We start from the raw sequence: 14,398 nt of genomic DNA, 5'->3' as shown, positions 1-14,398 counted from the left end.
GACCATCCTGAGAAGAGGGAATATTTAAAAAAAAAAATTATTCTTCCATGTGGTGCAAACCAAAATAATGGAATTATGGAGAGGTTAGAGCAGGAATGCAGTTTGTGTACATTGGAAATGAATCTTAGCATATAATCTATGAAAATTAGCCATGTTCTTTGATGGGAAATAAATTTGCATCTTGTGTTAGGATCTTCTTTAACGTTAAGAATATGTGCAAAGTGTGCTTAAAAACTGTTTTTTTCCTTTAAAAATGTTTTATCCAGTTTTTTGTACACACATACACAAAAACATACACAATGGCCATATCATTCAGCCTTTTTCATCTTTTCACCCCCTTTTCTGCATATTGGTATATCTGCAACCCATATTAATATCCTAGATTTTTGTTTATACACGTATAATCCAGTTACTAGTTGTAACACGTGGCACATTGCCAGATTACTTAGAATAAAGCTGTCACATTTGACCTTTTCACCAGCAATGTGGAATGATAACAATTTCTTCACATCTTCTCCAGCAGTAGGTATTTTAATTAATTCAATTTTTGCCAGCTAGATTGGGCATGAAATGATGCCTTATTATTATTTTAACTTGTACTTCCTCCTCTACGTTTAAAAACTATTGTCTGATCATTATGATAATTAAGGAACAAACTAATGAAAATGTAAGCATCATTGTTTTCTTAAAGATACACTTTGAAAACTACAATTTCAGTATTTGGGGTGTGTGATGTAAAGACTACAGACCTCTTTACTTTCTAAAAAGGATGCCTTTTGGGAACTTTATTAAATATGGCAAATTGAACACATTCATTTTCCTTTTTCCTATATCTCACTAAAATTGAAGGCAAAGGAAAGAAAAGCGTAAGAGCTAAGATATTAAGAGCTTCTGGAGCGAAACAATTTTTAAACCCCAATTAAAGGATCAGGAATAAAAGTTATGTGGGACTTACCAGTATCAGTAGTGGAGTCTAGAAAATTGAGGGGACAGTGCTTTCTAAATTCTGTGTGAACTGATAAGGAATGACCTACAGGGAATTAAGCAAAAAAATAAAAATAAAAAAATAATTTCAAGATATACAAAATAAGGAATATTATGCTACTTTTGTACAGCAATAAGGTGGGAATGTGGTTAGTTGTATGTATACATGTTTATATTTGTAAAATGACGCTGAATAGACAAAACAGCTTAATAAAAATGATTCCTATGGAAGAGAAAAGACAAGGTACAATTCCTTAAATTGGGAAGAGAAACTATCTGACTTTACTCACTATGCAAATTGTTATTTAGATGAAAATGAAAAAAACATGTGTTAAAAAATTTCTCTCAAGAGCAGGTGAAACCGGACTACAGCTTTTCTCCACGGACTCTGTTTGCCATGTTTATTTCTTTATTCTTGATTACTTCACACTTTACGCATTTTCCCTTCTTGTAACTGTAGATTTTGCCTCCTATTAGTTATGAAAGTTTAAAACCCGGGGGAGAGTGGGCTTACAAATTTTCAATGTATTTTTGTATAGTCTTTTGAGATTAGAGTGAAGTTCTAAAAAGTAAGAGAACCTTTTGTGAAAATATTTTAATTGACACTACTAAGAGTTTAAAATAGTATTGGTGGTGAAAAATCGTTAAAAGTATCTGATTTTACTTGCAAAATTACTGTATTTTCCCACAAGAGGAGTCCTTACAACATTCTTGTTTTTAGAAGGGTTTGTTTCCATCATTCATTTAAATTCATAAAGATAACGTTTTCATGGGTGGAGAAGTCTATTGGGAAAGTCATAATTCGAATTTCTATCTTGCTTTGCAGTTTGCTTTCTATGATAAGTTGAAATTATTACTTGATGTTCAAGGTAGTCTCTACATCATCCTTTCAATATTTCTGCTAGGTTCGATACAAGAGGCTGTTTTCCTAGCGTGGCTTGCTGCCTTTGGTAAGAACATGTCGTCCATCTTGCCATTCACGCCGCCAGTTGTGAAGAGACTGCTGGGATGGAAGAAGTCAGCTGGTGGGTCTGGAGGAGCAGGCGGAGGAGAGCAGAATGGGCAGGAAGAAAAGTGGTGTGAGAAAGCAGTGAAAAGTCTGGTGAAGAAGCTAAAGAAAACAGGACGATTAGATGAGCTTGAGAAAGCCATCACCACTCAAAACTGTAATACTAAATGTGTTACCATACCAAGGTAAGTTTTGTTAGATCCCAGGTTTGATCAAATTATGTCAAGGAATCTGAAGGAAAGTTACTGAATTTGTGTTCCTTTCAAGTTGCCTGTAAAAAGTGATGATTGAAATATGACTGTTTTTAACCTTGTATAAATTGTTTTTGCTAGCTGACTTGTTTTATAAATTATTTTCTTGAATAGTGAGGTTTAATCAAGCTAAATAAGATACTTAGATTTATTATCTTCATTGCCTACATTTGTATGTTATCCTCATTTCCGTGATTGAATGATACTTGAATAAAGAATTGAAGCTTTTTCTATCACTAACATAGTAGCAACCTACAGTTTTCTCCTCCTTTAGTCAAAACTTTCATCAGGGGTGAAAAGAGGCTGCTCACTTTTTAATGAATTTTATATGGTTTTTCTTTGCGTTGCAGCATTGCTTCCAAGAAAGAATAGTGTGTTAGGTGGCTTCTTAATTGTTGTAGGCATTAGTCAGAACCTGTCTTAAAGACCTGCCTCTTAGGTTAGGAGGACCTGTTACTTTAAAAGTCTGAAGTTTTCTGAGGATAAATTTAATCATTTACAGATAAGTACCACTGTCATAAGTATTGTTTTTTAATTAAGTGACAGGTGTTTTAAAGTGTGTTTTACTACTTGTGTACATTACAGATTTTGGGGAGATTGTTAAATGTAAGAATTCTCTAAAATGATAGTTTGCAGTGTCATACCGTGGGCTAGCATATAGCATGTGAAACCATTCTACTTGACTTTGAACTTTGAGAAGTACACTTTTGATGCTTATAGATAACAGATCCCAATAACACCAGTGCAGCCTGTCTAGTTGCAAATACTAACAGTAGAATGTTTCTTGCCTTGTTTGGTAGACCATCCATTTCTTTCCCTTACTTGTTTTATGTATATCTTAAAGGTTGCTTTTTTGGTTTGTTGATTTGTTTTACAAATGCTTATTGAGTGTTTGCTATGTAGAAGGCACTGTTTCTAGACATATGAGGATAACAGTGATTAACAAAACACAAAACTCCTGCCTTCCTAAGGGATAGAAATACACGATAAACAAGTAAACAAATTAATTATAATTTGATATGGTAATGAGTGCAAAGAAGACAACCAAATGCAGTGATATGATAGAATGAAGAATTAAAAAGCTGCTTTGGGTCGGATTGTGATGCTTGCGTGGAGCTTGGAGAAGCAGCAGCCAACTGAGGGAAGAGTCTTCTAGGCAGAGGGAAGAGCCAGAGTGAAGACACTGAGGTGAGCTTCTTGTATTAGAATATTTAAAAGGAGCCCAGTGTAGATGGAGGACAAGACTTGCCCAAAGCTTATACAGGGCATCCTAGAGTGTGGTGAGAGTTTGAATGTTAGTCTGAATATAACAGGATGCAAGTAAGTTTATTCTGATGGATTTTAAAGAGGATCTTACATATTTTTACAAAGATTTTTCTGGCTGCGGGAGAGTGGTATGTGTGTAGTAGGGTAGATGGAAGCAGGAAAATTAGGAGGCTGTGAGGAATCTAAATGCAAGACGATAGAGGCTGGACTGGCGTGGTGGCTGTGCTAGCACACGAAGTAAACAGATTTGGCATGGGTTTTAGAAGTGGAACTGAGGACTTCCTGGTGAATGGGCTGAGAAGTCAAGCTATATTTCATTCTTCATTGTGTAGTGCTTGGGATTTCAATTAGGTAACCATTTATCATATGCCCACTATGTGCCTGGTGTGCTCTTCCTCACTGGAGTTAAGATACAGTGTTTGCTTTTAAACTACTTACTTCCTAGTAAGGGAGATAAACTTAGAAAAAGATGGTTTCATGAGGCTTGGTAGATGTTATAAAAGAAGTATGCTTGGGGCTATATCCAGAGGAGGCTTGTGGAAAGTTTCCTTCTGGAGGAATACTGGTGATTTTGAGTTGAGCGGGGTAAAGGAGGAATTAGGAGAAGCCTGTTTCATCACATGTAGTGCGGTGGTGTGGAGATTGGGAGGTGGGGGAGGATTGGTGAAGCGTTCCAAACAAGTTGGGTATCCTTAGAGTATAAAGTAAGGGGTGGCAAATGGCCATAGTGTGTATAGGTAGTAAGGAGTCACTTCATGCTGTGCCAGTGTTCACACTTAACCTGAGGGTGACGGGTGAGGTTGGGGCCGTTTAAGTGCCGTAGGGTCTGAAGGCTCAGAAGTCAGATTAATTTCAAGTGCAACGTGGGTTGCAGCGAGAAAACTCCTTGAGGCTGTCAAGAATGGAGGCCGGGAGACTGGTATCACTTGATTGAAGGGAGCTGTGTGATACAGCAGAGATAGAGCCATGTTTTTGCACAACTTCAACAAGGCTCAAGTTGCCATTGCAGTGAGGTTATCCAGAGCAGAGCCTGAGAGAGTCTAATCTTTTAGGGAGGTACAGCAGTACTAAAATTGGCCATTGCTGGTATTTAACCTGTGGAGGAGGTCACCTTAGTCATAGCTCTTTTCCTTATTTCCCATTCTTTTTACAGCCTCTTTTGGAGATAGAGATCTCTGAGAGCTCATATTCTGGAGCTGCTTCATCATTAAAAACATTTTTTTCTGCCCTCTCACCTGATTAATGAAGTTGAAGTGATAATTGTCCATTATCTTGTTTTTCACTATTGAAGTTTCCTTGAAGCGTAGAAATTTGCCTAATTTGGTGGTTTTTTTAGATGTTGCAAAAATGGAGATTTGTTATTATTGATCATGGTCTATCAAAAAAATTTTAACTTTTTACACACTGTAGCTTAGTGCCATATATTTTATAAAGCTTGTTTTTAGTAGTAGAACAATTAAATTGTGTCAGGTTATTAGTCATTTCTTAACAACTAAATATTCTTAAATGTAAGAAATTTAGTTGGAATTCAGGGAACTCATTTATATGTAGAGTGTAAAAGATGGGAAGTGGGATGGAAAAGATTTGTTATGGCTAAATCCAAACCTTAGCTTAAACAGAATTATTCAAAATGTGATACACAATGGATTTGTAAGCACGTTTACTCAGAATTTCAAGTAAAATGTTAGTAAAGTGCCTTTATGGTTTTATAAGCCAAAAAATACAACTAAGTTCAGCTGATGAAGAACGGGAAACAAATTGCTTAATTTTAAGAAATGGCAAATGTTTTCTGTTGAAATGTTTACTGAACAGTTCCTCCTCTCTACTTTCAGCCCCTTAATATTAGAGTGGGGTTAAAGTTAGGGCAGAAACATAGTCCTGGCTTTGTGTCCCTCCCACTCCCCTCATCTCATTACTCTTGTTGCCTCTGGCAGTTTAAAAGCTGTAGTTATAGATACGTCACTGTCGCTCCCTTCCCACCATTTTCTGTGGTGACACAGAGTAATTTATAGGTAGAGCTTAACCTCAATAAAAGCTGCAGTGAGCTAAATAATAAAAAATTTCAGGAAGCTTTTTCATCTCAAACATTTTTGAGTCCGAGGGATGGGAGACAACTTGGTCGTGAAATCAGAATGGCAATTGATATTTAGATAAAGAATCAGACATAAGGAAAAAGCTTTCAATATATTATTATCCACAGTAAAGCAAAATTGAAATTGCAGTGGGGATGGAGGTCTGTAAAGTTAAAAGTAAGGACTATGGGGTCTAAAATGGCTATTTTATAATATTGATTATACATAAATGTATAGGAATGCAAAATTTATTTTCATAAGCATAAATTAAAAGGACTTTCCTAAGGTGGTACTCTGACCATGTAATCACATTTTTGATCTTTCATCCCAAGGAAATAATCAGAATATTGTCAAAGATTCCTGATGTTTGTTTCAGTATCATTTTTTCCACCAGTCCATTGGAATCTGTATTGTTTTTAATATGAATTAGAAAAAACCCAGTCCTAACCTTTAGTTTCTTTAATAAAGAACACTTAAGCTTATTTTATACCACAATTAAACAAGAATAGCGAAAGAAAAGTTTATGCCACTCTTTATAAACATAGATGCAAAAGTCATAAATAAAATATCAGAAACTAGAATTCAGTGGTTTATTAAAAACAAAACCACAAAAACATAACTAGGCATGGTGGCTCACGCCTGTAATCCTAGCACTTTGGGAGGCCGAGGCAGGCAGATCACCTGAGGTCAGGAGTTTCAGACTAGCCTGGCCAACATAGTGAAACCCGGTCTCTACTGAAAATACAAAAACTAGCTGGGTGTGGTGGCATGTGCCTGTAATCCCAGCTACTCGGGAGGCTGAGGCAGGAGAATTGCTTGAACCCAGGAGGCACAGGTTGCGGTGAGCCCAGATTGAGCCACTGCACTGCAGCTTGGGCGATGAGCAAAATTCCGTCTCAAAAAAAAAAAAAAAAAAAATGTCTAGGTAATGTTTATTGTCATTCAAGGATGACTCAACTACAGGAAATCTATTAGTATAAGATACCACATAATCATATTTAAGAAGCACTTTATGATCATCATGGATCCAGAAAGGGCTTTCTATAAAATTTGCTATTCATATTAACAAATTAGAAATAAGAGTTTTCTTAGCTTGATAAAGCATACTTCTAAAAATGTTAACACTTAATTATGAACTTTTAGAGATTAATTGACCAAATTTTTAGTAATGAGTATGGGTGACCCAGAAAAGTCCTGTATTTTTTTTTCTAGTATTTATATATAAAAGTATATCACTTTTATAGTCAGCACAATTAAATGTTTAAATAGGACTTTTGGGCAATTTAATTCGTGTCTATTTATGACAAGACTATTCTTGTCTTTTTTCTTTGAAGTCAGTTTTTTCTGTTAAAAGGCAATTCTATTTTTTTTAGCATTCTGATATTTGTATGTTTATGACTGTTTTTGCCTTCAAAAAGTGTATTTCTAGCCAGACGTGGCAGCATTCACCTGTAGTCCCAGCTGCTTGGGAGGTTGAGGCAGGAGGGTCACTTGAGCCCAGAAATTCCAGGCTAGTGTGCAGTGATCACATCTGTGAACAGCCACTGCACTCCATACCGGGCAACATAGTGAGAGTCTGTCCCTTTAAAAAAAAAAAAAGTTACTTAAAAACATAAAGTAGCATGTACATAACTGAAAAATCAACCATGATTATACGGTGGAAAAATCAGTCTCCCTCCCACCCCTGTTTTTTCATCACCCAGTTTTCCTCTGTAGTGAACGTTGTATTACTAGTTCCTCATGTGTCCTTCCAGGATGTTTCTTTTTAATGCTGCCATTAACATTTGGATTTTGTTTTGCCTCTTAGAAACGAGACAGAGTTTTGCTCTTACTGCCCAGGCTGCGGTGCAGTGGCGGGATCTCGGCTCACTGCAACTTCCGCCTCCCAGGTTCAAGCGATTCACCTGCCTCAGCCTCCCAAGTAGCTGGGATTATAGGCATGCGCCACCATGCCTGTCTAATTTTGTATTTTTTAGTAGAGACAGGGTTTCTCCATGTTGGTCAGGCTGGTTTCGAACTCCTGACCTCAGGTGACCCGCCCGCCTCGGCCTCCCAAAGTGCTGGGATTACAGGCATGAGCCACCATGCCCGGCCACCTCTTACAGACTTTTAAACATCAGAGTAATTAGTAACTTTATGCAGACTGTCTTGGAATAGAGCAGTTGTCATTAAAAAAACTGTCATCTTTTATTTCTAACCTCATGTTCATACCCTTTTGCTTCTCTAGGTAACCAGGAATAGCTAAAGAGAAGTCTTTTTGAACCCAAACTGTAGTATTCTTCCATTCTTAAGCAACTGCTTTTTCATAATAGGATAATTCTTTCTTCTCATTCATACATAGGCATGTGCGTGTGTCTGTCTGTATCGTAATATGTATGAAACACTATGGTGGAGGGAACTCTGAATTTCAAGTTTGATAACCTGTTTTTGTGTCAGCTTCTTTAGTATTGATGAATGTAGATCCTAGGGAATATGACTGTACTTTTTTTACTGTTCACAGCTGTGAAAGGCAGTAGTGCTATCTGAGTACTTTCACAGTATGACTTTTGGGTCCATTGAAATAATGTAAATGAGCTTCATAAGCTATAAAACATTATAGCTAGGAATATGATTTATTGGAAATATTCAGATATTCTAGGTCTTCGTTCTCTATTTTTGTTTTTCAGGAGAACTCACATTAAATTGTAGACATTAAAATGTATTGTCTCTGCTTAGAAAAAGTTTTTGCCAGGCAACATTGCATGATGTATAATTTAGTTTATTAAATGTATAAAATTTGTTGATAAAGTCAGAGCAATAAAACTTTATAAATATGAATTAGAACTTTGAGGTTATGGGGAATAGGGACCTTTTATCAGCCTTATCATCCAGTTTGTCATATACAGTTTATAAATGTGAAAGCACTTGTGATGAGGTCAAGTATCACGTGAAACACACTTTGGAAGGCACTTTGCTAAGCCCTGGACCTTATCTGGTGCCTACATTTACAGTTAGGTATTTTGAGGGGGCTCCTGCTCCAGGACCTGGTATTCAAAGTCCCTTGTGTATATGGTATATTCTTGCATGGGGCATTTTTATCACTTACCTTATCAGGGAAAATACCTACCTGCCCTAGGACCTTTGTCCCTTTATAAAAATTACTGAAATTATACCTAAATTAATCAATTTCTGTAATTTTATCATGTAACACCTGATGCAATGAACAATATACCCTCTTTTCTTGTCCTGTTTAACATATTAGCTTCAGGAAAGAGTCAACCTAGCTAAAATAGGCATTTAAAAAATTACAGTAATCTTTTGTTTTCCCAACATCCTTGGTCTGTTTCCAGTCCTTTTTTTTTTTTTTGAGATGGAGTCTCGCTCTGTCACCCAGGCTGGAGTGCAGTGGCGTGATGTCGGCTCACTGCAAGCTCTGCCTCCCGGATTCACGCCATTCTCCTGCCTCAGCCTCCTGAGTAGCTGGGACTACAGGCGCCTGCCACCATGCCTGGCTAATTTTTTGTATTTTTAGTAGAGACGGAGTTTCACCGTGTTAGCCAGGATGGTCTCGATCTCCTGACCTCGTGATCCGCCCACCTCGGCCTCCCAAAGTGCTGGGATTACAGGTGTGAGCCACCGCGCCCGACTGTTTCCAGTCTTACCTGGAACCATTCTAGGCTACCCAGGCCTTTTTTTTTTTAAAGTATTTACCATCCAGCCCAAAATGTCATACCCAGGACATTCTTATGTGACTACATTCTGGGAAAAACCATACTGTTTACTCCTTCCCCTTCCTGTCTTGTAGTAGAGTCCTTCCAGGCCTGTGTGGTCCTCACTGGCAATATAAGTAAATGTATCACTATCCAAAGTGCCTGAGATAGACAATACCCACACATGGACTATGGAGAGAGGTGAGATAATAGTAAAACAGCAGTTTAGGATATCTTGCTTTAAATCTTCTGTTGTACTTGGGCTAAAATCAGAACGTCTCTTACAGTTCTGTTGTTTTCATTTCCTTTTTTTTCTTTTTCTCTTTTTCAATTTAGATATTTTCTGTTGATCTACTTTTGAGTTTACTGATCCTGTTTTTGTGCTGTATTCAGTCTGTTAAGCCTACGTAAGTTCTTAATTTCAAATATATCCTTCAGTTATAGTATGTTCCTTTGATATTATAGACCCCAAATCTGTTGAAATTCTCCATTTTGTCTATTTCCTTAATATATTTATAATAGTTACTTTAAAGTCTTCTGTGTGGCAGTTCTAATGTCTGGATCATCTGTTGGTCTGCTTCTGTTATTGTCCATTCTTTTCTTTCTCAAATTTTCCTGCATTTTCATGTCATACAGCTTTTATTGTATGCCATATGTTTTGTACATTATGTAAAATTCACTCATAAAGATCTTGCAAATAATGCTCTCCCCAGAGTATTTGACCTTTCCTACCTTTACCAGGTAGATAGAGAGAAGCTCCCCTTAATCTAATTAGCGATTGAGCTGGGTGGGGCTAGACTGCCATTTTAATTTGGTTTAGTCTGCCACTGGATTATACCTTTCCTGCAAACAGCGCTCCAGGGATTTTGATTGAAAGCTTGTTAGACTGTCACCTAACCCCTGAAACACTGGGAGATTCACTTCTACTTTTTCGAAGTATGAGGTGACTTTGAAAGTATGAGCTCTTTAGCCTCAGCTTTAAGATCTGATAAGCGTCTTGAGGGGGAATACTCATGTGACTGTCAAAAGTTCTACTGTTTTATTCCTCAGAGCTTCTTTTCTCAGACCAAGCCTTTAGCCTGCACCTAGAATCTACACGTGACTCCAGGGGAGGAAGTGATAGGCATTTGTCAGTTCACCTAGAAAGCTGCTTTGCTGCAGTTTTAGTTCATCTGGATCTCATTAGTTTGATAGCTCTCCATTGTCTTTTGAGCAAGTTTTTTTTTTTTCCCTTTTTTCCCCTCTAGTAAGAACATTGGACTGCTGTGACCTGCTTATATTTTACCTGGAGTTGGAACTATAGCAGAATGTTATAATAGGAAATGTTCTGGTATTTACCAAATCTGGTATTTACCCCAAATCTGAGAACAGTAGATTGCCAGTAACCTGCATTCAAAATTGAGGTGCTATAGTGTTCATGCAGAACATGCAGAAAAGACACCCTGAGTCAAGCATTGCTACAGTTAAAACCTGTTACTCACCTGTAGGCTGTATAAAGATCGTGAGTTCAAGAGAAGGACCCCATAGTGAAAAGATTTTTGGCGAGAGTAGTATATGTTAAGGTATTTCTCCCTTTTGTTAATCCAATTTGAAGGACTTGACGAGAACTTCTCAGTTTGACATGTGTCTGCTGAGGTTTGAGAGATAAATAGACTGGTACTTGACTTCTATCTGAAAAAGCCTAAAAAGTGAGATAAAGGCTGGAGCTGCCCCTGTATCGGTAGAATGAAGAAAGGGCACAATGGGAGTGGGCCAGCACTTTGTCAGAGTTTGATGGGTCAAAGGTGGAAGAATTACCCCCATGGACAAAGTAGACGTTAGTAAGACATAATAGTTGAAGTTGGCTTACCTTGAAAGGATCAAGAGGCCATACTTGGTTGAAGGGTCACAGTGATCCAAGCAGACAAGCCTGAGAAGTTCCTGCATCAGGAACTAACTATAGGTGAGAGTCTGCATTTGGACTTCCAACCTCCACAGGACTCCATCACACATTACTGTCACATCAGATTACAGTCCAGCCAGCCACTTAAGATCGTGCCCCTTTTCTCTCAGACTCCCTCTTCCTGCTATTTCAGAACCGGGAGGGGCCTTAAAAATAATAGCTGGAGAGTACTGGAAGAGGTAGCGTGAAAAGAATTAATGAGATAGTAAGATTTTGGCTTTGCTGTGGCTGGATTTTAATTTCTGAAGACATTTATTGTTAATACAAATATCTGGATATGACTAGGAAGTGTTGAAATCTTTTTGGGATTTTGTGCAGACAGGATAAAAGCAGCTTGGGAAGAGCTTGTTGGAGAGCAATGACTAGAGTGGTGGTGGAAGGGAGCTCACTAAGTCTAGTTTGTTTCATGAGCTGTCTGTATCCTCTTTTTGAAAATTGAGAATTCCAAATTTAGTGGTTGCTGGGGACAGGAAGAATATGTGGGGAGAAAAGAGGGATGTTACGTGTGTCTACGTGAAATACATGCCATTTTAACAAAAGCCTTTTCTTTTTTTTTTTTTTTGCATATAATCATGATACTGGTTAAATTAGCCAGTGATGCTTTATTTTCAAAGAAATGTTACAACTACAGTTTTCTTCTATTATCATCATCGTTTTCCTTGAAGCGGTAGGTTAGTCTTTACTCTCAAAATCCAACTTTTAACTCTGACTTTGGGTTATGATGGGAAGCGCTATGAAATGGTCTTGGTGCTCTTATGAAACTGTGATCACTAATAATACTTAAATTAGAACTGAAATATATAAGGAGACTTCTCACTAACTCCTTCACCCCAGCCTTTTGTCTTTTAGAACTTTGCTTATCTTTATGGTTAGATAGATAGATAGATAGATAGATAGATAGATAGATAGATAGATGGATAGATATAGATATAGTTTCTCTGAAATTTGCTAGGACAACGGGGTTTGGGGGCAATGAAAGAAGGTTTTATATTTATGTTTAGGATGATAGGGACATTGAGAGATACTGAACACAAATTTATAATGAAGTTAAGTAATTTAAAAGGGTTTTCCTGTAATTTTTATATGATGCCTTATATAATTTGCATCCACAGGTATAAAACATTAATCTATGTGCTTAAACATTTGCCTAAACATTTTAACATGTTATCTAAACATAACCTCTATGCATAAAAGCAGTTTATCACATTCAGAGTGCTATACAGATTTGAGTTGATTTTTATTTTGTGGGATGCTAATTGTCAAAAATTGTCAGATTATAAAAACTTTTACAATCAAAGTCAAGCATTATAAAACTGTATAACTTAAAAAGTTGAATTTCATGGAATCACATTCTGTATTGTAATCATTGTTTTATGGTTGATGTAAAGTCATCCCTTGGTATCCTTGGGATACCCCATATCTCCAAAATTTGGAGACGCTCAAGTCTCTTATATAAAATGGCATAGTATTCGCATATAACCTATGTACATCCCCCACCATATACTTTGTTTTGGAGGCAGTGGGGAGACAGCGTCTGGCTCTGTCGTCCAGGCTGGAGTGCAGTAGTGCAGTGTTGGCTTACTGCAACCTCTGCTTCCTGGGCTCCGGTGATCCTCCCACCTCAGCCTCTTGAATACCTGGGATTACAATTGTGTGCCACCATGCTAGGCTAATTTTTGTATTTTTGGTAGAGACAGGGTTTCATCATGTTGCCTAGTCTGATCTCGAACTCCTGGGCTCAAGCGATCTGCCTGCCTCAGCCTCCCAAAGTGCTGGGATTACAAGCGTGAGTCACCATGCCCAGCCTGTATTCTTCATTGTTGTATTGTTATTTTATCTAGTTTTTCCTCTAGTATTTTCTGTCCATGGATGTGGAGCCCACATATACAGAGACCAACCATGTATTCCAGATTTTATGCACTTATTTTAAGATTAGAATAACATGTACTTATATTTTATATTTATTTTGTCATTTATGTTACTATTTTTCTTTTTAATTGTTAAAAACAGTATATATTGGCCAGACACGGTGGCTCATGCCTTTAATCCCAGCACTTTGGGAGGCTGAGGCAGGTGGGTCACTTGAGGTCATGAGTTCGAGACCAGCCTGGCCAACATAGTGAAATCCTGTGTCTATTAAACATATAAAAATTAGCTGGGCCAAGTGTCATAATTCCAGCTATCTGAGAGGCTGAGGCATGAGAATTGCTTGAACCCAGGAGGCGGAGGTTGCAGTGAGCCAAGATTGTGCCACTGCACTCCAGCCTGGGTGACAGAGACTGTCTTGGGGGGGGAGGGTATATGTGTGTGTGTGTGTGTGTGTGTGTGTGTGTGTGTGTGTGTGTGTGTGTGTATATGACTAAATCTAGAAAATCGATAAGCTATGTTATTAAAGTAAATGTACCTGAACCCTTTCAGTGTTAGCTTTTGTTTTCTTTAAGTAAAAAGTTTGTATTTGGAAGGGCTTGAAATACTTCAACCATTTTTAGAATTGATATTTAAATCTTTTCAGTAGTAGAGACTATTTTGTGTGTGGGAGATACTTTGTTTTTTCAGGGGCAGCAGAAATATCAAACGGTATCTCAGAGTAGAGTTTTTAATAACAGCATTTGGAGGTGGAGGTGGAAAATATTGAGAAAGTTTTTTTCAATCATCACCTGGTCCTTCTTCTAAGAAAGGCTATACTATATCAAAGATGAGTAGAAGTGTCAATTTTATTCTTATAGGACTGTGTGACTTACAGGAGTGTGATTATGGAAGTTCTGTTGTCTCCGCCTATTTTTTATTTAGTTATTAATATTTGGAAACCTAAGCTGCTTATTTTAATTTGGAAGGGGCTTTCTCAATTTACTTGTCCAAAGAAATTTTCTTTCCTGAGAAAATGTCTCTTACAGTGAAATCTTCAGTTTTTATAATTAAACATGTTGTGTAAATGTTTTACATACCTGGGATATTATACCAGTTTTATTGTTTTAGCTTTGATTTGCTATGTTTATATTACTTGTTTCTTTTTAGTAACTATATATGGGGCGGAATAATGTTAATAATTAAAAATGTGGCCTCTGTCTCTTCCACTTGCTGGCTGTAGGACCTTAGACGTGTTACTTTGTGTTTCCATTACCTCATTTGTCAAATGGGGACAACAGTGCCTGATTCATGGCACTGTTGAAGGATTAAGCGGTTTA

The 14,398-nt window shown here is 37.4% G+C and overlaps 1 protein-coding gene across 6 annotated transcripts in view, besides 1 other annotated feature; it reads left to right on the top strand.

The window, feature by feature from the left end:
- SMAD2 (SMAD family member 2) overlaps positions 1-14,398 on the top strand; it is a 121,916-nt gene that overhangs the window by 32,174 nt on the left and 75,344 nt on the right. For all 6 annotated transcript variants that reach the window (NM_001135937.3, NM_001003652.4, NM_005901.6 and 3 more), the window contains one exon: positions 1,890-2,178. In NM_001135937.3, coding sequence (NP_001129409.1) covers positions 1,943-2,178 — 236 coding nt within the window. In that variant the 5' untranslated portion in view covers positions 1,890-1,942. The remainder of the gene's footprint in view (positions 1-1,889; positions 2,179-14,398) is intronic.
- Positions 2,754-2,954: a silencer, noted in NCBI's record as "peak3140 fragment used in MPRA reporter construct". NCBI's record gives its function as "represses an SCP1 promoter by STARR-seq MPRAs in K562 erythroleukemia cells {active_cell/tissue: K562}" and the evidence as "EXISTENCE:reporter gene assay evidence [ECO:0000049][PMID:32103011]".

The sequence above is a fragment of the Homo sapiens genome, chromosome 18 (genome assembly GCF_000001405.40).
Source record: "Homo sapiens chromosome 18, GRCh38.p14 Primary Assembly".
In the NCBI taxonomy this organism is placed as follows: Eukaryota; Metazoa; Chordata; class Mammalia; order Primates; family Hominidae; genus Homo; species Homo sapiens.
The sequence above is the reverse complement of the archived record's forward strand: the minus strand, read 5'-3'. Positions and strand labels throughout refer to the sequence as shown.